Here is a 23,106-nt window from a genome sequence, read left to right on the forward strand (position 1 = left end):
TAATTATGGAAAAGGAACAGAGTAAAATGTCTTGCTTAGAATTAGAAAAAAAAAAGGAGGGGTGTTCTTTGCTCGTGCGCTCTCTCTCTCTCTCTCTCTCTCTCTCTCTCTCTCTCTATATATATATATATATATATATATTTTAATTTTTTATTTTTTTTTTTGAGAACAAGTCTCACTCTGTTTCCCAGGCTGGAGTGCAGTGGCACGATCTTGGCTCACTGCAACTTCTGCCTCCCGGGTTCAAGCAATTCTCCTGCCTCAGCCTCCCCAGTAGCTGGGATTACAGGCACATGCCACCACGCCCAGCTAATTTTTGTATTTTTAGTAGAGATGGACTTTTGCCATGTTGCCCAGGTTAGTCTTGAACTCCTAGGCTCAAGCAAACCACCTGCCTCATCCTCTCAAAGTGCTGGGATTACAGGTGTAAGCTACTGCGCCTGGCCTGCTTCATAACATGTTAAATGGAGGTATATTTAAGTGGAGTGGGTACATGGCTAGGCGGCTCTCACCCAGCTACAAGTACTACACAATTACATGTGATATTTCTGAAATAAGGGCAGTAAAACCAACAGGCAACACCCCTAACTCCATATCTTCCTGAGACTTTATTATGTATACACGTTAGAAAACTATCTGGGAAGATGATGTGGAGGGAAGCAACAGAACTAAAAACATTAGTATTACTAAGCAATATTTTCAGAGATAAAACTCATTCATCTGCTCTGAGAAACTTTAGAGAACTTTCTTTTCTTACAATTGCCTCTGCATAGTGAAATACTATATACTGTTTTTGGTTTTGCTTTGTTTTTTTTTTCAGGGAGGGATTTTTTTTTTGCATTAAAAAATACAGTTTGAATAAAAAATAGTTACCCCGTGAGGGATAAAAGACTACAAATAGGGTGCAGTTTATACTGCTTGGGTGATGAGTGCACCAAAATCTCACACATCACCACTAAAGAACTTATTCATGTAACCAAATACCACCTGTTCCCCGATAACCTATGGAAATAAAATAAATAAAAATAAAAAATAGTTATTACCCCACAAGTGATAATCACTCAACTGTCTCACTGGTTAAGATGGTATTTACTCACTAGTTGAGATGGTTGGCCGGACTGATATGGTGGGACAGGATGGGAGAGAGCTTCCTCTGAAGCATTAAGTGTTTTTGAGTATGGCGTTTTCTTTTCTAAACCAGGAACTGGCTAGAGATTTAAGAAAAGGCAGCTATACTTTATTCTCTGAGATGTATTCAGTAAACAATATATTCATCTAATATATATATATATATATATTCAATATATTCATGTAACATCACTGATTGAGCATCAGTTATTCTCGAGCAAGACAGTACCCTGGTCTTAAGGTGCAATAACCACCAGAATGGGGACCAAATATATTTGCAAGACTATCATGTTCCCTGCTTGTCCAAAGGCAGGTGGCTGACACTTCAGTTTGGAGTCTAATTTTTACCTGGACTCTCAAATTTCTTTTTTTTAAATCTATCATATAAATACTTTTCTATAACCTCATATAAGCACTGCGGTGCAGTAACCATGATAAATGTAACAGAAAATCATGTTGCAAATTTCAGCTACATATTAATTTAAATAGGTTTTATGAGATAGTTTTGGAATTTAACCATCGTTTTATAATACTATTTCTGTAAAAGAATAAGTTCTGAGTAATGAACAATGAAAAGATTAAAGAAAATACAACCTGCTTTTGAATTGGGAATCTCACTATTACTCTTTTAAAAATTGCATAAAGTATAACTTTTGTTTGGCTGACTGATTTCTAGTTCAGTTATGAAGCACAAAAGTTATACAATTCCATTTAGGTGATTTTTGTTGAGATTGATTTCTTATTTTGTGCAGTATAATTTAGTGTTAGCAATAACTCTCATCTTGAAACTTTCCTCCTCAATATACTTCATTATTAAAAATAATAACGTAATAAGAGTGAACATTCATTGAGCACTCATCCATGTACTAGACTTACATATATTACATATCTTACATATATTACCTCCTTTAAGCCTCTCAACACCCCTATGGCATGGCTTATCATTTCCTTTTTATAGATGAAGGAAATAAAGCTTAGCAACATCAAGCTACTGGCTCATGGTCACATAGCTAATTAGTGCTACAGCCAGAATTCGAAACTTGGGCTTTTAATTATTGGAGTTAACTAAAACTATGTAATCAGAGAAAGAAATTATAGGAAGGCATAGAGAGACATTCTAAAATGTTGTCATTCATTCATTCATTCATTCAACATATGTGCATTCTGTGTGCAGATCACTATGCTATGTGCTACGAGTACCCTGGTAAGACAACCATTTTCTGTGTGATTTATACTGTCATAGTACTTACAAACTAGTGGGAAAAACAAATTGATCAGATAATCACAATAGTATTTATTTATAAATTGAGATCAATGCTTAAAGAGAAAGCAGGGCTTACAATAAAATATTCTGACTTACATGTGGATCTGGAATCTTGAAAAAGTGAAACTTAAGCTGAAATCTGAGTGATAAGGAAGAGTCAACTAGTTAAGGGGTATAGGTTGGAAGCTTTCCAGGCAGGGCAAGCAGCATGTGCCAAGGCCTTGAGGAAGGAGGGAACATGGTATTTTCAGAAAGTGAAAGCAGGATACTGTGGCCGCGTGTGGCCAGTGAGGGGAGAATAGCATAAGAAAGGCCTCTTTGGGCCTGGCCTTGAAAGGGTTTTGGTTGTGTTTTAAAAATACTTATCTATGACATCGTTGATTTCTGTCTTCAGTCATATACTTGGAAGATCTTCAAATATTAAAGCAATATATCTTTGCATTGAAGTGTGTCATTTTTTGTTTTTATTATTTTTAATTGACACATGACTGCACATATTTATAGGGTACAGTGTAATATTTTGATACATGCACACAATGCAATGATCAAATCAGGGAAATTAACATACCTGTCACTTCAAACATTTATTGTGTCTTCATGTTGGGAACATTCAAAATCCACTCTTCTAGCTATTTGAAAATGTAGAATAAATTGCTTTTAATTACAGTCATCTGACCCTGCTATAGAAACCAGAACTTATTCCTCCTATCTAGCTGTAATTTTGTATCCATTAACCAGCCTCTAGCTATTCCCACCCGCTACCTTTCCCAACCTCTAGTAACTACTATTCTGCTTTTGGCTTCTCTGAGTTCAACTTTTTTAGCTTCCACATATGAGTGAGAACATGTGGTATTTGTCTTTCTGTGCCTTGCTTATTTCACTTAACATAATGTCCTTCAAGCTCATACATGTTGTCACAAATGACAGGATTTCCTTCTTTTTGAAGGCAAAATAGTATTCCATTGTGGATATATGCCACATTTTCTTTATCCATTCACCTGCTGATGGACACTGAGGTTGATTCCATATCTTGGCTATCATGAATAGTGCTGTAATAAACATGGGAGTTCAGATATCTCTTTGACATGCTGATTTCCTTTTCTTTGGATATATACCTATTAGTGGGATTGGTAGTTCAATTTTTAGCCTTTTTGAGGAAAAGTTTGGATTTTTAACTTAACAACAACAGGATGCTTCTAAAGGACTTTAAACAAAGAAGTAACAGATTTGCAATTTGTGTAGGTTATTCTGGTGGCAGTGTGGAAAACGAATTGGAGGTGGGGGCATGCCAGTTTAAAGTAATATCTAATGGGCAGAATACAGACTTTGGGGACAGCCTCTATCCAGGGCCGGTGTCATCTTTTGGTCCAAGCTACTCTTATGTAAGAAAGGGACAATAGTACAGACGGCAGAAGAAAATTTTAAGGATTAAATGAAAAAGTAATTGTAGTAATCAACCATCATCATTTATAGATGAGGACTCTGAGGCTTAGAAAAGTTAAATAAGGCTTTTTGTCTGTTTATCTAGATGTTATGGAATGAGAGTGAGTGGAGTAGGAGATAAAGGCAGGGTGAAGGTCTGAAGGGAGAGAACATTCCAAAAACAAAAACAAACAAATGAGCAGTAAAACCAGATATAAGATCCTGGAGAAGCCAGATCTGGGAAAACCTGGTTGAAAGGATCACAGGGTCCAGCAGCCACATGGAATCCAGCTTCAATTGGCTCACCACAGTTCTTCCTCCAGAAAAAAAGGAGATCTGGGGATGTAACAACCCTTCACTTTTCAGTTTTCTTTTTTCATTTCCTAAGGGGGCTAGGTTAGATCAGTCTGTTATTTAGCCAGTAGGCAAAATAGGATAGTTCCCAGGGCTCTTCTACCCCAAACAAATCATCAGTGAAAATCTTCCCATTTGTTGTATGAAATCAGAAACTGCATTAGTAATGGGACAAAAGCCTTAATTACAGAATTAAAGATTTAACAAATTAAAAATAGTTAATCGTAATGCTGTTTTTTTAGTGTGAGGGAGTTTTAAATCAAATCAGCCTATCCAGAATTATGAATAGTAAGAAAGATGGGCACTTAACAGCTCGCAAACACCAGTGGGAGCAGGACTTGGGGAGAAAAACATGCAGAGGGAGGAGCTGATGCTATCTCTAATGATAAAGTTTGGACATTCATTAATTTTCTCCTTCAAAAGGGTGGGGCCAAACAGAAACTGGTCTTGAACTATTATGTATTTGCAAATTCAGTAGTTTACCTTCCTTTGATTCATCAATATATGTTTAACACAACTGGCTTATTATAATTAATTATTCTACTTAAAAATATTTATTGAGCATCTACCATGAGTTAGCCACTGTGGTAGGTACTGGAATGATAGCAAAAAGCAAAACAGACATTCGTGGAGATTTTACTTTTACATTATTTTGATCCCAGAAATTGTATTACTTAAGGCTTTGTTTATGAAATTCTTATTAAATGAATAATATATTATTTTTAAGTTGAAAATTAAGTCAAGAATGGATTTTTTTGGCTTGCTCTTGACATTTCTGTTAAGGCTGTATACTCCAGATTAGTGAAAAATCTTCAGGTGTTTAAGAACAAGATACTATATAAAGCAATGTGGTAATTGATTAATATCCCTTTGTGTATGTCAAACCACAAGCAATAGGGACCAATACATTTGACCTTTATAGTGCCCTGTACTGCAATTTCATTTACATAGCAGCTGATGTTGTAATTGATGTTGCATTTACTGAAACCATTGCCATTGTCTGTTTCAGGGCCGGCTTGATTCTCTAACAGAAGTGGATGACTCAGGACAATTAACCATCAAATGTTCTCAAAATTACTTGTCTCTGGATTGTGGCATTACTGCATTCGAACTGTCTGACTACAGTCCAAGTGAGGATTTGCTCAGTGGGCTAGGTGACATGACCTCTAGCCAAGTCAAAACCAAACCCTTTGACTCTTGGAGCTACAGTGAGATGGAAAAGGAGTTTCCTGAGCTTATCCGAAGTGTTGGTTTACTTACGGTAGCTGCTGACTCTATCTCTACCAATGGCAGTGAAGCAGTTACTGAGGAGGTATCTCAAGTATCTCTCTCAGTAGACGACAAAGGTGGATGTGAGGAAGACAATGCTTCTGCAGTCGAAGAGCAACCAGGCTTAACACTGGGGGTGTCATCATCTTCAGGAGAAGCTCTGACAAATGCTGCTCAACCCTCCTCTGAGACTGTGCAGCAAGAATCCAGTTCCTCCTCCCATCATGATGCAAAGAATCAGCAGCCTGTTCCTTGTGAAAATGCAACCCCCAAACGAACCATCAGAGATTGCTTTAATTATAACGAGGACTCTCCCACGCAGCCTACATTGCCAAAAAGAGGACTTTTTCTTAAAGAGGAAACTTTTAAGAATGATCTGAAAGGCAATGGTGGAAAGAGGCAAATGGTTGATCTAAAGCCTGAGATGAGCAGAAGCACCCCTTCGCTAGTAGATCCTCCTGACAGATCCAAACTTTGCCTGGTATTGCAGTCTTCTTACCCCAACAGCCCTTCTGCTGCCAGCCAGTCTTATGAGTGTTTACACAAGGTGGGGAATGGGAACCTTGAAAACACAGTCAAATTTCACATTAAAGAAATTTCTTCCAGCCTGGGAAGGCTTAACGACTGCTATAAAGAGAAATCTCGACTTAAAAAGCCACACAAGACCTCAGAAGAGGTGCCTCCATGCCGAACACCTAAACGGGGGACTGGTTCAGGCAAACAAGCTAAAAATACAAAGAGCTCAGCAGTGCCAAATGGAGAGCTTTCTTATACTTCCAAGGCCATAGAGGGGCCACAAACAAATTCTGCTTCCACATCCTCACTTGAGCCTTGTAATCAGAGAAGTTGGAATGCCAAATTGCAATTGCAGTCAGAAACATCCAGTTCACCAGCTTTTACTCAGAGCAGTGAATCCTCTGTTGGCTCAGACAACATCATGTCTCCGGTGCCACTTCTTTCAAAACACAAAAGCAAAAAAGGTCAAGCCTCCTCTCCAAGTCACGTCACTAGGAATGGTGAGGTTGTGGAGGCCTGGTATGGCTCTGATGAATACCTAGCACTGCCCTCTCACCTTAAGCAGACAGAAGTATTGGCTTTGAAGTTGGAAAACCTAACAAAGCTTCTGCCTCAGAAACCCAGAGGAGAAACCATCCAGAATATTGATGACTGGGAACTGTCTGAAATGAATTCAGATTCTGAAATCTATCCAACCTATCATGTCAAAAAGAAGCATACAAGGCTAGGCAGGGTGTCTCCAAGCTCATCTAGTGACATAGCCTCTTCACTAGGGGAGAGCATTGAATCTGGGCCCCTGAGTGACATTCTTTCTGATGAGGAGTCCAGTATGCCTCTCGCTGGCATGAAAAAGTATGCTGATGAGAAGTCAGAAAGAGCTTCATCCTCTGAGAAAAATGAGAGCCATTCTGCCACTAAATCAGCTTTAATTCAGAAACTGATGCAAGATATTCAGCACCAAGACAACTATGAAGCCATATGGGAAAAAATAGAGGTAAGGTGGTTTTCTTAACATGAATGATTTCTCACTTGAGTTTTGGAAGTATTGCTGGGAGAAGGTCACACTCCTACACTCTATTATAAAATGTATGGCTATTTTTGATAAATCTGATTCTCCAAAGAAAGAAAAGAAAAAGCACAATGATCAATGCATGTGACAAAGAGTATGAATCACTAGGAATTGCCCTTGTCAGTGCATTAGCTTGATGTGCTCCTGCCTGGTATAGAATTCTTTGTTGAAATTGTTCAAATCTATCATGACTACTGATGAATGCTGGAACCCCTTGGATCTAATACAAAATTAAATAGAATGATAGCTGTGCACACACAAGTAGCTCAGGAATATATGCATAGACTATTCCAGTTACCCCAGAGTGTTTTTATTCATTTCTTCTGACTCCAGAATACATTCCACATCTCCAATGTTAACTTCTTGTAGAAATAGACCAGACATTTCTAATTTATTAGGGATCTTTTTTTTCTTTACTCTTCCTCCTCTTTGAGAACTCTGGCTAATAACCATATTACCTATACATGTACCACCCATGGACTCTGGGATGTGAAGTTGACATTTTGGCTAAATCTGTACTTTTGAACAAATTACTAGATATGACGTAATGTTTGAGGACAGACTTATCAAAAATCTCAGGACCGACGGCTTGGGCAATGTAGGGAGACCCCATCTCTATATTAGCCAGGAGCGGTGGCACACACCTGTGGTCCCAGCTACTCAGGAGGCTGAGGCAGGAGGATTGCTTGAGCTGAGGAGGTTGAGGCTGCAGTGAGTTGTGGTCATGCCACTGCACTCCAACCTGGGCAACAGAGTGAGACCCTGTCTCAAAAAAAAAAAAAAATCTCAGGACTGAGCTCCATAGTATAAGTAATTATTTGATCTTTTAAGAGGCATCTGGGCAAAGAGATTCACTATGATTACTGTGGTAATGGCCGTTTCCTCAGGAGGCCATTGGAAGTAGATCCAGCTGACTTGATAATTGTTAATGGTTTCTTGTTTGATGACATATCAATGGCCATGCTTGTCTACATATAATTTGTGTATGACTTTATGGTATGCAACGCTCTCCCACATGCTTTTTTTTTTTTTTTTTTTTTCCTCTGAGCAGAGTTTTGCTCCTGTTGCCCAGGCTGGAGTGGAATGGCACCATCTCAGCTCACTTCAACCTCCACCTCCCAGGTTCAAGAGATTACCCTGCCTCAGCCTCTCGTGTAGCTGGGATTATAGGCCCCCACAACCATGCCCAGCTAATTTTTGTATTTTTAGTAGAGACGGGGTTTCGCCATGTTGGCCAGGCTAGTCTCGAACTCCTGACCTCAGGTGATCCGCCTGCCTTGGCATCCCAAAGTGCTGGGATTACAGGCGTGAGCCACTGTGCGTGGCCCATACATTTTTTTTTTTTACTTGATCTTCACAGCTGTCCTGTGAAGGAAGCAGGCCATGCCAGATTATTCTCGCTTTACAGAGATGGAAACAGCCTCCATGAGCTTAAGTGATTTTTCTCAAGCTAAAATAGATAGATAGATAGATAGATAGATAGATAGATAGATAGATAGATAGATAGATAGATATAAAGAGATGGTAGGTAGCTAGATAGAGACAAACAGACAGACACAGATAGACAGACTGACAGACAGACAGGCAGAGACAGAGACAGACAAACCAGACAGACCTTTTGTGTAGGAAGCTGAGACGCAAACTCACGTCTTCTGATTCTTAGTCCAGTTTTCTTCTATAGTATCATGTTGCCTCCCTGAAAGGGGTTGTAGTTTCTCCTTCGCCGGGAAACTATAAGATAGGAGAGAAGAAAGAGTTCAGGACCCATTCAGACTGGATAGAGAATATTGATGTAACTGCCATGGGCACTCCTCCTAATTTTTTTTTGTTCTGTTTTTTGTTTTTTTTACATCCATTCGTTGTCGAATACTACTCTGAGACCAGCATTGTGCTAGACACTGGATAAAGGTATAGTGCATATGGATAGAATAACCTGGAGGAAGAAAATGCAGGTTTATAAACAAAGAGGAAAAAGTTATCAAATATACAGCAGTAATAACATATTAATCATCATTAACATATATCAAGTATTCGTGTATCTAGTCCTCACAACAACCCTGATATTAACCTTATTTTATGGCTGAGGAGACAGGCTGAGAGAGACCATGCAGTCTGCTCCAGAGCCCATATTATTAACTAAATGCCCTCATTCCTGTCCATGAGGAAGTGATCAATAAGTACCGAATATAAAAACTGTGGTATTGTAGAGTAGTAATAATATCAGTGGAGCTAGAATTTGACTGGGCAGTTCTTGTGAAGTACTAAACCTTAAGTGGAGCTTTGAAGGATGTACAGGATTCAGACAGATAAAGGAAAAGGAAGGTGGCGTTTCAGGTAGGAGGAGCATAAACTAAAACACAGAGGTAGAAATGAGAATGAGCATGGATATGGGGTACAAAGAGAGCTGTCCTGGTTGGAAGGTTTGTCATCAGAGATCAGTGAAAGTTTCCATACCTAAAGTAGGTATGGAAAGGCCATGAAGGCCACGCCAAGGCAATTAGAATTTGTTCACCAGGCACCCACAGCAACTTCTCTGAAAGGGACTGACAGTAATAACTAATACTTCTTAAGCTTTTATTTTGTGTTTGGCTCTGTACTAAGTATTTTACGTGGCTTACCCTACTTAAGTCCCGGAAGGGAGGATTTTTTCAGATGAAGAAACTAAGGCAGTATGTGATTAGGAAACTTGCTCAAGTCCTCACAGCTAGTAAGTACAAAGCCAGGATTTGAACCCATAACCAGCATTCTTAAAGCAGTGTAGGCCCTGGTCTCTAGTAGTCTTTCCAGAAGGGTTAATTGGCAATAACAGAAAGATGGTCCTGGCAGACATGGCGGTGACCAGGGCAGAGGTGTTGGCCTGTGGCAGCCAACCTGAGGAACTGCTGTGATGTGGATCAGGCAAGAGGAAGGGAGGGGAGTGTTGAAAAAGTGAATGAGTCCAGAAAACTGGTTCTAGACCTTGCTAGAAAGAATTCAGGAGCCATTCAGTGATTAAAGCCTGGTGTGGCCCACAGCTTGGCATATTCCATTCTGAGCCTTGTTTCATCTTTTGTAAAGAGATGTTTTAACCCGATGATGACTATGATACCAACTTCCAATTTGATTCCACAGTTCTACAAAAATGCAGCTAGGTTTTCAGCATCTGGAGACTGGTGTGTCTTTAATAGAAGGAAACATTTGGATGAGTAGCTGGTTTGAAGTAGAGGTGGTGCAGGTAATTTTTTAAAAACCGTGCATAGATAGCATATGATGAAACTTTTAAGAAGAAATGGTTTATAGGCAGTTGAAAAATCCCATACTGGAGTTGGGATATGAGGGAAGAGGCTAAAAGAAGATCAAGTTCCTTCCTCAGGCCAGCTGGAAATTGTTAATGGTTTGATTGTTAATGGTGGATAATTGTTAATGGTTTCTTGTTTGATGACATATAAATGGCCACGCTTGGCTACATATAATTTGTATATGACTTTATGATATGCAGCGCTCTCCCGCATGCTCTCCCTTACTACACCAGATGAGGGCAGCTGCCAACCTCCAGGTCAACTGGCCTTGGCTATCACACTCTAGCTTTGGTCTCCTCCTTATAGTGACCCAGAGAACCCATTCTGCCTGGAAAATATAATGACAGAGGATATTACTTAATATCTTCTTTATAGAAGGCATCTGCTAGGCATTTTACCTATAATAACTCTCCCATAAAATTCTTATAACAACCCTCTAAGGTAGGTTTTTAATCCTAAATTAACCACTAACCACTTCTCTCCTGTTCCATTCTGGTTCTAGCCCCCATCACCTCCTTCCTGGATTACTGCAGTAGCCTCCTAACTGGTCTCTCTGCTTCTATTCTTCTCTCACTACAGTCTATTTCCAATAGAGTAGCCAGAGTGATCCTTTTAAAAGATAAATCAGATTATGTCATCCCTCTGCTCCAAACTCCACAATAGAGGGTTGCCATTGTATTCAGAGGTCCTACATGGACTGTTCCCTGATTTCCTCTCTGACATCCTTTCCAATGACTTTTCCCCATGCTCACTACACTCCCTTTCCTAGAACATACTTGGCATGCTTCTTGCCTTTAGGATCATTGTCAGCTGCTTTTGTCTACATCCTCTCCAGCAGATGCCCTCATTTATAATTCCTTCACCTGTTCCAAGTCTCAGCTAAAATATTATCTTCTCAGAGAGGACTACTCTGACCATCTTTTAAAAGATGTAACCCAGCTGGGCGCCGTGGCTCATGCCTGTAATCCCAGCACTTTGGGAGGCTGAGGTGGGCAGATCACTTGAGGTCAGGAGTTTGAGACCAGCCTGGCCAACATGGTGAAACCCCATCTCTACTAAATAAACAAAAATTAGCCAGGTGTGATGGTGTGCACCTGTAATCCCAGCTATTTGGGAGGCTGAGGCAGGAGAATTGCTTGAACCCGGGAGGTGGAGGTTCAGTGAGCTTGGGAGCGTGCCATGGCACTCCAGCCTGGGCAACGGAGCAAGACTTGGTCTCAAAAAAAAAAAAAAAAAAAGGTGTAATCTGACCTTTTCTTTCTTTTACAGATCTCACCACATTCTGTAATTTTTGTTTGTTTGTTTGTTTGTTTGTTTGTTTGTTGAGATGGAGTCTTGCTCTGTCGCCCAGGCTGGAGTGCAGTGGCACGATCTCGGCTCACTGCAAGCTCCGCCTCCCAGGTTCACGCCATTCTCCTGCCTCTGCCTTCTGAGGTAGCTGGGACTACAGGTGCCTGCCACCACACCCGGCTAATTTTTTGTATTTTTTTTTTTTAGTAGAGATGGGGTTTCACCGTGAGAGCCAGGATGGTCTCTATCTCCTGACCTTGTGATCCGCCGGCCTCGGCCTCCCAAAGTGCTGGGATTATAGGCGTGAGCCACCACGCCCGGCCTACATTCTGTAATTTTATATAATTTTCTAATGTAGTATATTTATTATTTTTGGTCTGTCTCCCTCTGTTAGAATGGGAACTCTGTGAGGGCAGGAATATTTATCTGTTTAGTTTGTTAATGAATCTCATGTACCTAGAACAATGCCTGGTGTACAGTAATTGCTCGATAAAGACTACTGAATGACTGAATCCCCATTTTAGAACAGAGGAAACTGAGTTTAGAAAGATGAACGAACAATTTTTCCTATGCAGCACAGCTAATAAGTTACAGAGCCAGGCTTCAGGCCACCATCTGTTTTATTCCTCCCACAAGATAAAGACTTGGGAATAGATGAATTCCCTAAAAGAAGGAGACTAGATGGAGAAAAGCAGAGGGACTGATGTCTGAGATTCAAGTTGTAGCTCAGTTATGAGACAGGAACAAGGAAGAGATCCAGTTGTGGGGATCAGAAGGGACAGAAAGAATTCTTGGGTATTAAATACATGGAGAGAGAGAAAGAGATACTAAATAAAATGGACATTAGCTTTGTTCTTTGCAAAAGATAGATCAAGAATAATAAAGACTAAGGGGAAAAAACCCAACAACCTTTAGATTTGTTTGAAATAATTAATGAAGACCTTAGGAAAAAAACAGACTTAATGAAGGAGTGAAAGTAGATATAGGTGATTAAGAAGTAAAAAACAATCATTCCTAATATTTCCTGGAATTGTATTGAAAACACAATATGAGGCAAAGGGCAGTAGTTGAAAGTAAAGTCAAAAGTCTTTTTTAAAAAATTGAAGCTTATTTGAAGGCAGAAGTGGCAAGAGAGATTGAAGTAGCTAGAAAGACTATGTAAATGTGGACACACTGAGAAAGAAGGGAGGGTATGTGGAACTCATAGGGAGAATTATGGCCTGGTATCAAGAATGATAAAATACTGAAAAATATATCCTGCTTCTAATTCCACTTCTGTCAAATGGAAAGTGGAGTCCATTAACTCATCATGGCAGAGTCCTCCACTCTGTCTTCTCTGAGTCACACAGAGCAGAAGGCAGGAGGCACATAGAAGCCCAGTAACTGCAAGAGAGTGTGGGGCTGTGATAGAATCTCCAGTAGGTTCCTGTCAGTCCCCACCCCTCACATTTGTATCTTTCTTATAATAGACTAATTTTGTAAAACAAAAGATTCTTTTTTTCTTTTTCTTTTCTTTTTTCTTTTCTTTTTTTTTTTTTGAGATGGAGTCTTGCTCTGTCACCCAGGCTGGAGTGCAGTGGCACGGTCTCAGCTCACTGCACCTCCGCCTCCTGGGTCTCCTGGGTTCAAGCCATTCTCCTGCCTCAGCCTCCCCAGTAGCTGGGATTACAGGCACCCACCACCATGCCCAGCTAATTTTTGTATTTTTTTTAGTAGAAACGGGGTTTCATCACGTTGGCCAGACTGGTCTCGAACTTCTGACCTTGTGATCCACTTGCCTTGGCCTCCCGAAGTGCTGTGATTACAGGCGTGAGCCACCGCGCCTGGCCAAGATTTCTTTATTCTTTGGGAAAATTGATTTTTGGATAATATATTCACATGGTTTTAAATCATAGACATTTAAAAATACTCAGTAAATCCCCCTCTCATCCTTATCACTCCATCTTGAATTCTCACTTCACCATATGTGATCACTATTGTTTTTAGTACTTACATATTTTTTAAGAAGGCCTTTACATATATAAGCCAATGAAAACAAAAATTTTAAGGCAATATTTTTAAAACTGGGGAATCAGTTGTAACCATTCCCTTTCCACAAATAAAAACTCCTAGTAAACTCTGAGTTCCCAAGGGATGGTCTGTTCCCAATCTTTTTCTGAGGGTTGAGGGGATTTTGCTTAACTCTGGCTGATTTACCCAGAACCCATTGTGTGAATAAATTACTAGAGCATCTTAGGTCTGAGTGCTCAACACCTACGGGAACTTCTCAAGGCCTAAAATTCAAAGCCAGAAGCGAAGTCAAGTAATGGAAACAGACACATTTGTTCCGATACATTCAAGAAATAGAATAAAAGCAATAAGGAGATAAAAGGGAAGAATATATCTGGAACAGATGAAATCAAACAGAATGGTGAAAAATTAACTTAGCATGATACCTGGACATATGTGGTATAAGTAATAGGGATTGGCAAATTATGGCCTGTGAGCCAAATGTGGCCCAATACCTGCTTTTTAAAATATTATTTTATTGGAACTCAGCCATGGTGTTTGTCTGTGGCTGCTTTTGTATTTCAGTGACAGAGTTGAATAGTTGTGACAGAGACCATGTGGCCTAAAAAGATTAAAGATTTACTCTCTTGCCTTTTACAGAACAAATTTGCTGACCCCTGCTCTTGAGTAAGGAAGAAGAGAGGGAGATAATTTCTGATCAGCATCTACTGTGTGCCAGGATCTGAAGTAGATTCTTTCATTTAATTTATATAACAAGCATATGGAAGAGCTGTTATTGGTCTCATTTTACAGATGAGGACTCCAGGCTTAAATGCAAATGACTTGCTCAGGGTCATAATGCTGCAAAGTGTGAGAGCTGGTATTCCAGCTGGGATGCCAGAGCTAACTTGGTTTTCTCCATGAGATATAGTCAAATGCCAGGGAATTTAGACAATAATCACATATGCAAATAAAATCGATTTATGAAGCCCACAGACCACTACTAGATTAGTAAATGAACAGTGTGACTTCTTCCTCATGACCTGAAGAGAGATGAACTGGTTGGTAAGTAGCCACTTGTATAAGGTGGGTAATTATTGATGCTGGGTTAACAGCTGTATAATTCCTATGGGAGCTGACAGAAAGCAGCACAGGGTATGCCATCTCAGTGAAGCATTTCAGGAGATCTGTCCTTTGGGATATAGCGCATGGTCCGCCTCTCACATTTTGGGCTTCCTGCTGCCATTAAATTCTCAAAACTTGTCCTGGAAGATACGACTTAGTCAAGTTGGACTCAGTGATACAGAATCGATGGATGCATGACATAGCTGAGCCTGTTTGTCCACAAGAGATGTAAATGTCTTCATATGCCAAATTAGAGCATCTTGATTATAGTTCAATGACTTAGCTGTTGTATTTTGTCCTAGAGACATCTATAATCTAATTTAACAAACTTCTTCGGTGCCAGCTAAGGATGTCCTTGCACATAAGTTATCTTGGACTCATGGCAGCAAATATTTAGCTGAGTTCTTCCTCTTTGTAACTAGACTGTAAAATTGCAATCAAGTATGCTCCCAGTTTTGTGGTAGCAGCACAAATGTGGCTACCATTGCACTTGCTAGAGATGGAGCTGGGAAGTGGTGGTTAGTACCTGTGTATAATGAAGGTAGAGAAGTTTTTCCCCCGAGATTAACTTGGCACTCATTTTTACATTTCTTTTCCAAGAGGTAGAATGGGTCCAGAGGAACGCATCCTAGCATTCATACTGATGATAGCAGCCATTAAGAAGTATCATGTCCTTCTGAGTTTTCTTTATTGTGGTAAAAATATGATATAACAAAATGTGCTATCTTAACCATTTTTTAAGTGCACAGTTTAAGAATATTTGCATGGTTGTAAAACAGATCTCCAGAACGTTTTCATCTTGCAAACCTGAAACTCTATACCCATTAAATAACAACTCCCCTTTCCCTCTCCCTGCTGTCCTCGGGTAACCAACATTCTACTTTCTATCTCCATAATTTTGACTGTTCTAAGTATCTCCTCTAAGTGGAATCATATAGTATTTTTCTTTTTGTGACTGGCTTGTTTGACTTAGCATGTCCTTAAGGTTCATCCATGTTGTAGCATGTGACAGGATTTCTTTCCTTTTTAGGGCTGAATAATATTCTATTATGTGTTTATTCAACATTTTGTTTATCCATTCATCTGCCAGTGGACAATCTGGGTTGCTTCCACCTTTGGCTATTGTGAATAATGCTGCTGTGAACATGGGTGTACAATTATCTCTTCAAGACCCTGCTTTCAGTTCTTTTGGGTATATACCCAAAAATTGGATTGCTGGATGTTTTTTTTTTTTGAGGATCATGTATATTTTTTGAGGAATCTCCATGCTATTTTTCAAAGTAGTTACACCATTTTACAATCCCACCAACAGAGTACAGAGTTCCAGTTTCCCCACATCCTTGCCAATACTTGTTACTTTCTAGGTTTTTTTAAACAAAAATAGTAGCCATTGTAGTGGGTGTAAGGTGATAGATCATTGTGGTTTTGATTTCCACTTCTCTGATGAATAATGATGTTCAGCATCTTTCCATATACTTGTTGGCTATTTGTATATCATCTTTGGAGAAATGTCACATCCATTACCCATATTTTAATAGCGTTATTTGAGTTTTGTTGTTCAGTTGTAGGAGTTCGTTATATATTCTTTTTTTGTTTTTTTAATTGAGACAGGGTCTTGCTCTGTCACCTAGCCTGGAGTGCAGTGGCATGATCACAGCTCACTGTGGCCTTGACCTCCCAGGCTCAATCGATCCACCTGCCTCAGTCTCCTGAGTAGCTGGGACTACAGGCATGCGCCACCACACCTGGCTAATTTTTGCATTTTTTGTAGAGGCAGGGTTTTACTCTGTTGCCCAGGCTGGTCTCAAACTCCTGGGCTCAAGCAATCCACCTGCCTCAACCTCCCAAAGTGCTGGGATTGCAGGCATAAGCCCCCGCACCTAGCCCATTCTGACTATTAACACCTTATTATATGTATGATTTGCAAATTATTTTCTCCCATTCTGTAGCCTATTTACTCTGTTGGTGGTGTCCTTTGATGCATCAAGTTTTTAAGTTTGATGTAGTTTCATTTATCTATCTTTGCTTTTGTTGCCTGTGGTTTTGGTGCCATAACCGAGAATTCACTGCCAAGCCCAACATCATGAAGTTTTTCCTCAGTGTTTTCTTCCAGGAGGTTTATCATTTTGGGTCTTATGTTTAGGTCTTTGAGTTCTCTCTCTCTCTTTTTTTTTTAAATTTCAATGTAGTTCCCACCCATATTTTAAGGGTCTCACTCTTGGCTTTCTTTTAGGATAAGACACAGCTACAAGGCTAAGACCAAGTCATCTTCTGGAATTTGTCTTGGAAAAAAAAAATACTTTTGAGAGCCCTTTTTTTGTTCTTGTTGGTTTGTTTTTGTTTTTTGAGACAGGGTCTCACTCTGTCATCCAGGCTGGAATGTGGTGGCGTGATGATAGCTCACGTCAAGTCTCCACCTCCTGGAGCTTAGTTGATCTTCCCACCTCAGCCTACCCAGTAGCTGGGACTACAGGTACACACCATCATGCCTGGATAATTTTCATATTAATTTTAGTATTTTTTGTAGAGACAACATTTCACCATGTGCCCAGGCTGGTGTCGAACTCCTTGGCTCAAGCCATCCTCCATCTTGGCCTCCTAAAGTGCTGGGATTATGGACAGGAGCCGCCGCATGGCCCATTATAGCCTACTCTTTTAAAAAAAGTCCTGTCTAGCCATTATTTACTGGATTTGAGATTCAAATAAGTCCCATTTGAAACACAGCTGTATCCTTTTTTATTCACCCACAGAGTAACTTGCAATCACGATTCTGCTATAAATTCAATTCTTACTTGCCTTTGATGTTTCTTTTATACCCACCATGCACCAGTGTTCCTAGTGTTGATGGAGTGGTAGTGTGCTCTACACTACTTGGATGTTGATAATGATCTCTTATGAGTATCCTTATCAGGAAGCGTCTTGAGGCTATGGAATTCCACTTTTCTTCACTGGCATTCCATTTTGCATGTGCCTTTCCCTTATGCTAACTTTTTCATTCACAGTTGCTAGTCCTCCTCTTGTCTCTGTATTCTCTCTTCCTTTTATCTTCTTTCCCATTGCTTTTCTTTACTTTTCTTCTGGATCTAGTTTTCACTCTCTGTCACCCATTTTTTTTTAACTTTCCTTCCTTGAGAGTATCTTCTACTTTCTTCCTCTAGTGTTGTCCTAGAGACTTTCAGATTCCAAATATGATGACACTATGAGTTGTCTCTTCATTACCATTCAAACTGGAGCCCTTGATCTTTTCAGTGCATTTCTGAATCTTTGAAATATGTATCCAAAAAGTCAAGGAATTGTTTAGATACAAGAATAAAGAAAACTAGGATTTAGTTAAATACCAAGGAAAAAGCCAGATTCTTAAAGAATTGGGTAGGTTCAGTTTTGTAATTAAAATGAGAAGATTCAAGAATCCTAAAGGATCACAGATTGAACATGAGTTGACAGTGCACATAATTATTAAACAAAAAGTATAGAAGTTTAATACTGTAGAAACTCTGAATACTTTTTAATTTTTATGATGCACAATCTAAAATTTTGTTTTAGGTCCTGGATGTAGTACTTGAGGTAGATATGGCAACATAATTCAAGGCTCTGTGTCTGTTACATAAGACAATATTTGGTAAGTGCCAAGGGAAAATTCATGCAGTGGGAGAACAGAAAAAAGAAGATAATACAAATGTAGCTTGATGAAGCATCACAGGAGAGGGAATACTTGATCTGGGCCTTGAATGATGAGTAGAATTTATATAGCAGAGATGAGGAGGCATAATGTTAGTGACAGGAACTTGTGCATATGCCAGGGTGGAGGGCAAGAATATTCAAGGTATGTTTGGGTGATAGTTAAGAGAAATCGTTGGTGTTTTGGAGTATAGGCTAAGCCACTATAAACAAAGAGACCCCAAAATACAATAAGATAGAAGTCTCTTTCTCTTTTACCTAGAGGCAGACAGTCGAGGGAAGATAGAGGTCGTCCTGAGGTCCAGGTTGCTTCTCCCTCTTGCTCTTCTATGGCTCACCACCAATACCATGTCTGCATTCCAGCTCACAAGAAGGGGAAAATGGAGGGCAGCCACCTTTCTTCTTATGGATACGACTTAGAAGTTACACATGCCACTTTTGCTCGCATCCCACTGGCCCACTTTGTCACATAGCATTACCTGACCTCAAAGGCGTTTTGGAAATTAGCCTCTAAGCTATGAATATTGGGAGGAAGGTGTCTCGTAAACTAACTACTAGTTAGAAATAACTTTGTTAGAGGAAGGTGAATGTGAAGTTAGAAAGAATAGGGCCAAGATATGAGGGACTTTGAATTCCAAGTGTTTGCATAGCATAGACACAAAATCAATACTATTGAATGCATGAATAAATGAGTAGTTAAGGGAATGAGTAAGTGAACGTATCATTGAGTTTGAACTTTATTCTCTAGATCAGGGCTACAAACTAAAATTAAGAGGCCAGGAAGATAGTATAAATGAATCATAAAGCCAGCTGTAAATGGGGAGTGATGGGACTGAATCACCTGGAAGATATGTGACATGTCTTAAGGGCAGCCACTACTCAGCTCCAGCTGATAGTTGCATGGGAATGTGGGCCATTTGTGCCAAGATTTTGGAATTTTTAAAAAGAAGGAAGAAATCTGGGTTTTATGTGACATCTCCCAATTTTTAGATGTTGGATCTGAACAATTTTTAAATAGGTCAAATAAAAACACATCTTTGGGATAGTTTGGACTTTAAGTCACTAATTCGCAATCTTTGCGAAGATGGGAAACTACTTAAAATGTTTGGCCCAGAGAGTTGGTAGTTTAAGAAGGTTAATCTGACTGTGGTATGCTGGGCACACCTCTAGCAGTAATTTTCAACTGTGACTGCAAATTACAATCACTGGGAAGCTTTAAAAAAATAAAAAAACCTCTTTATCCACCCCAGACCAATTAAATCAGAATCCCTGGGGTTGGGTATTTTTTAAGTTCTTCAAGCAATTGTAATGTACAGTTGCGGTTGGGAGGTAGTCCTCTAAGCCTAATCTTTTTTTTTTTTTTTTTTTTTAAGGCAGAGTCTTGCTCTGTTGCCAGGCTGGAGGGCAGTGGTGCAATCTCCTCTAAGCCTAATCTTAAGGGTTATTGAAATAGCCTAGACATGTGGTAAAAGGGTCTGAACTGTGGGTCTGGAAGCTGACTGAAGAAAGAAATAGATAGGTGGGAGATATTATAAAGGGCAAATTGATAAAATTTTGTGGCTGTTTTAAATAGGAGAGTAGAAGAGGAAAGGAGTCAAAAAGAGTTGAAATTTCAAGCTGAAATTTGGGGGCTGGGAGATATAAGGAATTTAACAAATGTCTCCAAGGCATACATAAACTTAAGATACACAGTAGATGAATGGGGCCCAAATCCAGTTTGGGAATTCTAAGTCAACATAACATTTTAAAAGGTAAGGCTGCACAATTCTTTTTAAGGATAATAAAAATCTTTTGTGTATATTTTATTTGTTGCAATGCCAGGACAAAAACTGTATATTAACATTGCTAATGGATTTGTTGAGACATGTCAGGATCATTGCGCAAGGTTGGTCCAGAAGAACCGTAGGGATCCAAAGCAAATTCCTTGCTGTTTAACATTAGGAATGTTTCAGTCCTGCCTCAGTTTGGTTTCTGTAGAGCTTTCAATGGGTCTTGAGTTGTTATCAGTGATGATTTAGCACCACCGTGAGGCTGTATCCAGTCACTGCATATGGCTGTTGGCCTCTGCAATATATACGGAAGATGATCTGCCCTTTTGTTTGCAGCTTTAAACATCAAGGTGAAAATAGTTCTTTGTAATTTTCTTCGTATGGAAAGGTTATGATGCAATAATATCTTGTATTAAGATGATAACAGTGCCTAACTGCATTTGATGGCAAATATTACTATCGTGATGAAACTCAAAAGATGGATAAACTCAACATTGCGTTTTTATTATTTATTTATTTTTTTAGCGTTGCATTTTTAAATTCAACTAAAATGATTCTTGGAACTTTAGTGAATTATTCTTTATCTTTAATCCCGAAGTCATAATTTTGTGTTGCTGGTAGGATGTTTCAGAAAAATAACAATTTAAATACAAAACAAAACTTTGTTATTTCTTGTCCCCTTGCAAACTGTCGGGCAGAATGCTAAGGGGTTTATTCACTTAGTACATCACTTCATTTAATTCTCAAGAAAAAAATTCTTCCTTGATGCAGACACTGTTACATTATATTTTCATTTTATAAATTAGAAGAGACAGAAGTTAGTAATTTACTCAAGGATATAGAACTTAAACATTGGGCTCAGTTCACAATCCCTCATTTTAATTATGAAAACTTGAATAAGTCACTTAAAGCTTACTGTATAAGTCTTCTAGTCTTCAAAATGAGATGTTAATTATGTTTGTCATGCCTTTGCTCAGATTATTGTATGAAACTACAAAGAGCAAAGGGGTCATTGTAAATCTAAAGGCTACATAAATATTAGTTTTATTATTATTGTGACTTTTCCTATGAATCTAGGGAATTAGCACCATATATATTAGAAATAACTAGGGTAAGAACCTTAATTCTGCCCCTAAGTAGCATCGTGACCTTGGAAATGTAACCTCGCAAGCCTCAGTTTTAAAAAATAAATATTAATAAAGGAATAGAATTGAATGACCTATAAATACTTTTCTGTTCTGAAATTTTATGAGAGACTAACTGTGAGGAATAACTAAGAGAAGCACTCATTTCTTTGTACAATATTCCTTGGCGTATATCACTTCAACATGGCTGACTTTGTGTTCCTTGGAACTTTGGGTGAACTCAAGTTTCCCTTAGAAGATCCTAATGGTAAGTGAATGTGAGGCTGTGACATTAACGAGCCTGGAGGAATGAGCCATTCATGCTGCATTCCTAGCACTGTAATATGACAAGAGCCAGACATCCTTGAGGAATTTGGGGCCTGGCTAGAGTTTATAAGATGCCAAGAGACCAGGGCCAGTGGTGACAGTAAACAAGTGAGTTACCCAGTAAGAATTAGATATGGATTAGCCTGAATTTATGGCAAATAAGGTCAGCTAAGTGAAGCAGTTAAAAACATTTGCCTTGGCAGACTTGTCATTGTGATGCCTTAAAATTACCCATCAGCACTGAGGCTTGTGCTCTGTTCAGACAATATGGGGGGAAATCATTTCAAGAGTGTGGGTTCTGTTTCAAGGTCACTCATGATGTCAGGCCCTGTCTGAGGTTATAGAATTTTCTATCTAAGAATGATAGGCTTGAATTTTGCATGGTGATTAAGCAACTTTATCCAGGAAAGGTGCTGCCTGTAATATCTGCTTCATACGCTTTCCATTCTCAGGTTGATGAGGCTCAGTGCATTGCTTTTTAGGAAGCCCAGTGGCTTTACTATTTACCTTCATGTTTTGTCTAGGAATAAAGGAAGTTGTATTTTCTTTTTTTAATGCTTTAAGAAAAACTGGAAAGGTGTCATTTATAGATGATACTCATATTTTTGGATTTGTCTAGAGACTAGTACTACTTGCTTGAGAAAGGCGTATGTGTGTGTGGGTGGGGAGGGAGTCATAATTGGAGATCTAATACTCTTTTTTCTTCCTACCTGAGCCCCAAAATAAAACTGACAAGTTGAGCTAACAGAAATACTTTTGCTTTTGATTTATTTTCTATAGCATAGAGAAGACTATCGGTAGTCTTTTAAAGTAAAGTTTCAGGCCAGGCCCAGTGGCTCACACCTGTAATCTCAGCACTTTGGGAAGCTGAGGCATGTGGATCACTTGAGGTCAGGAGTTCAAGACCAGCCTGGCCAACATGGTGAAACCCTGTCTCTACTAAACATATAAAAATTAGCTGCGTGTGGTGACAGGTGCCTGTAGTCCAAGCTACTCAGGAGGCAGAGGCAGGAGAATTGCTTGAACCTGGGAGGCGGAGTTTGCAGTGAGCCGAGATTGCACCACTGCACTCCAGCCCAGGTGACAGAGCGAGACTCCATATAAATAAATAAATAGATAGGTAGATAGATAAATAAATAAAGTTTCAGGCTGGATTCTGTAGTGTAGTAATCACATTCACCTCACAAAGTTTCATTAAAGCTATTTTCCTTATCCTATCCTTATTACATCTAAAGTTTTATATTGTTTGGTGCATGCCATTGTATTTATTCCTGTTAAGAAGACTGTTGACCAGAGTCTTCTTAATAGGATGTAGGGTCCATGAAGAATTATATCTGTGCCCATTTCACTTTCTAGACACACTTTTATACAAGGGAAACATGGCTGGGAAGAACTTCCAAAACCACCTTGCTCATGGTACCAAAAGGATGAATATTCAGAAAATTAGTAGATGGAACTCCACAGTAAAGGAAAAGATACATTCATAGTAAGAGATTTCTGGGGG

At 39.2% G+C, this 23,106-nt stretch overlaps 1 protein-coding gene across 12 annotated transcripts in view; it reads left to right on the forward strand.

The window, feature by feature from the left end:
• Positions 1 to 23,106, forward strand: part of AKAP6 (A-kinase anchoring protein 6) — a 508,387-nt gene that overhangs the window by 210,755 nt on the left and 274,526 nt on the right. For all 12 annotated transcript variants that reach the window (XM_047431969.1, XM_047431966.1, XM_024449755.2 and 9 more), the window contains one exon: positions 5,178 to 6,947. In XM_047431969.1, the coding sequence (XP_047287925.1) occupies positions 5,178 to 6,947 (1,770 nt within the window). The remainder of the gene's footprint in view (positions 1 to 5,177; positions 6,948 to 23,106) is intronic.

Source organism: Homo sapiens, chromosome 14 (assembly GCF_000001405.40).
Source record: "Homo sapiens chromosome 14, GRCh38.p14 Primary Assembly".
NCBI lineage: Eukaryota > Metazoa > Chordata > Mammalia > Primates > Hominidae > Homo > Homo sapiens.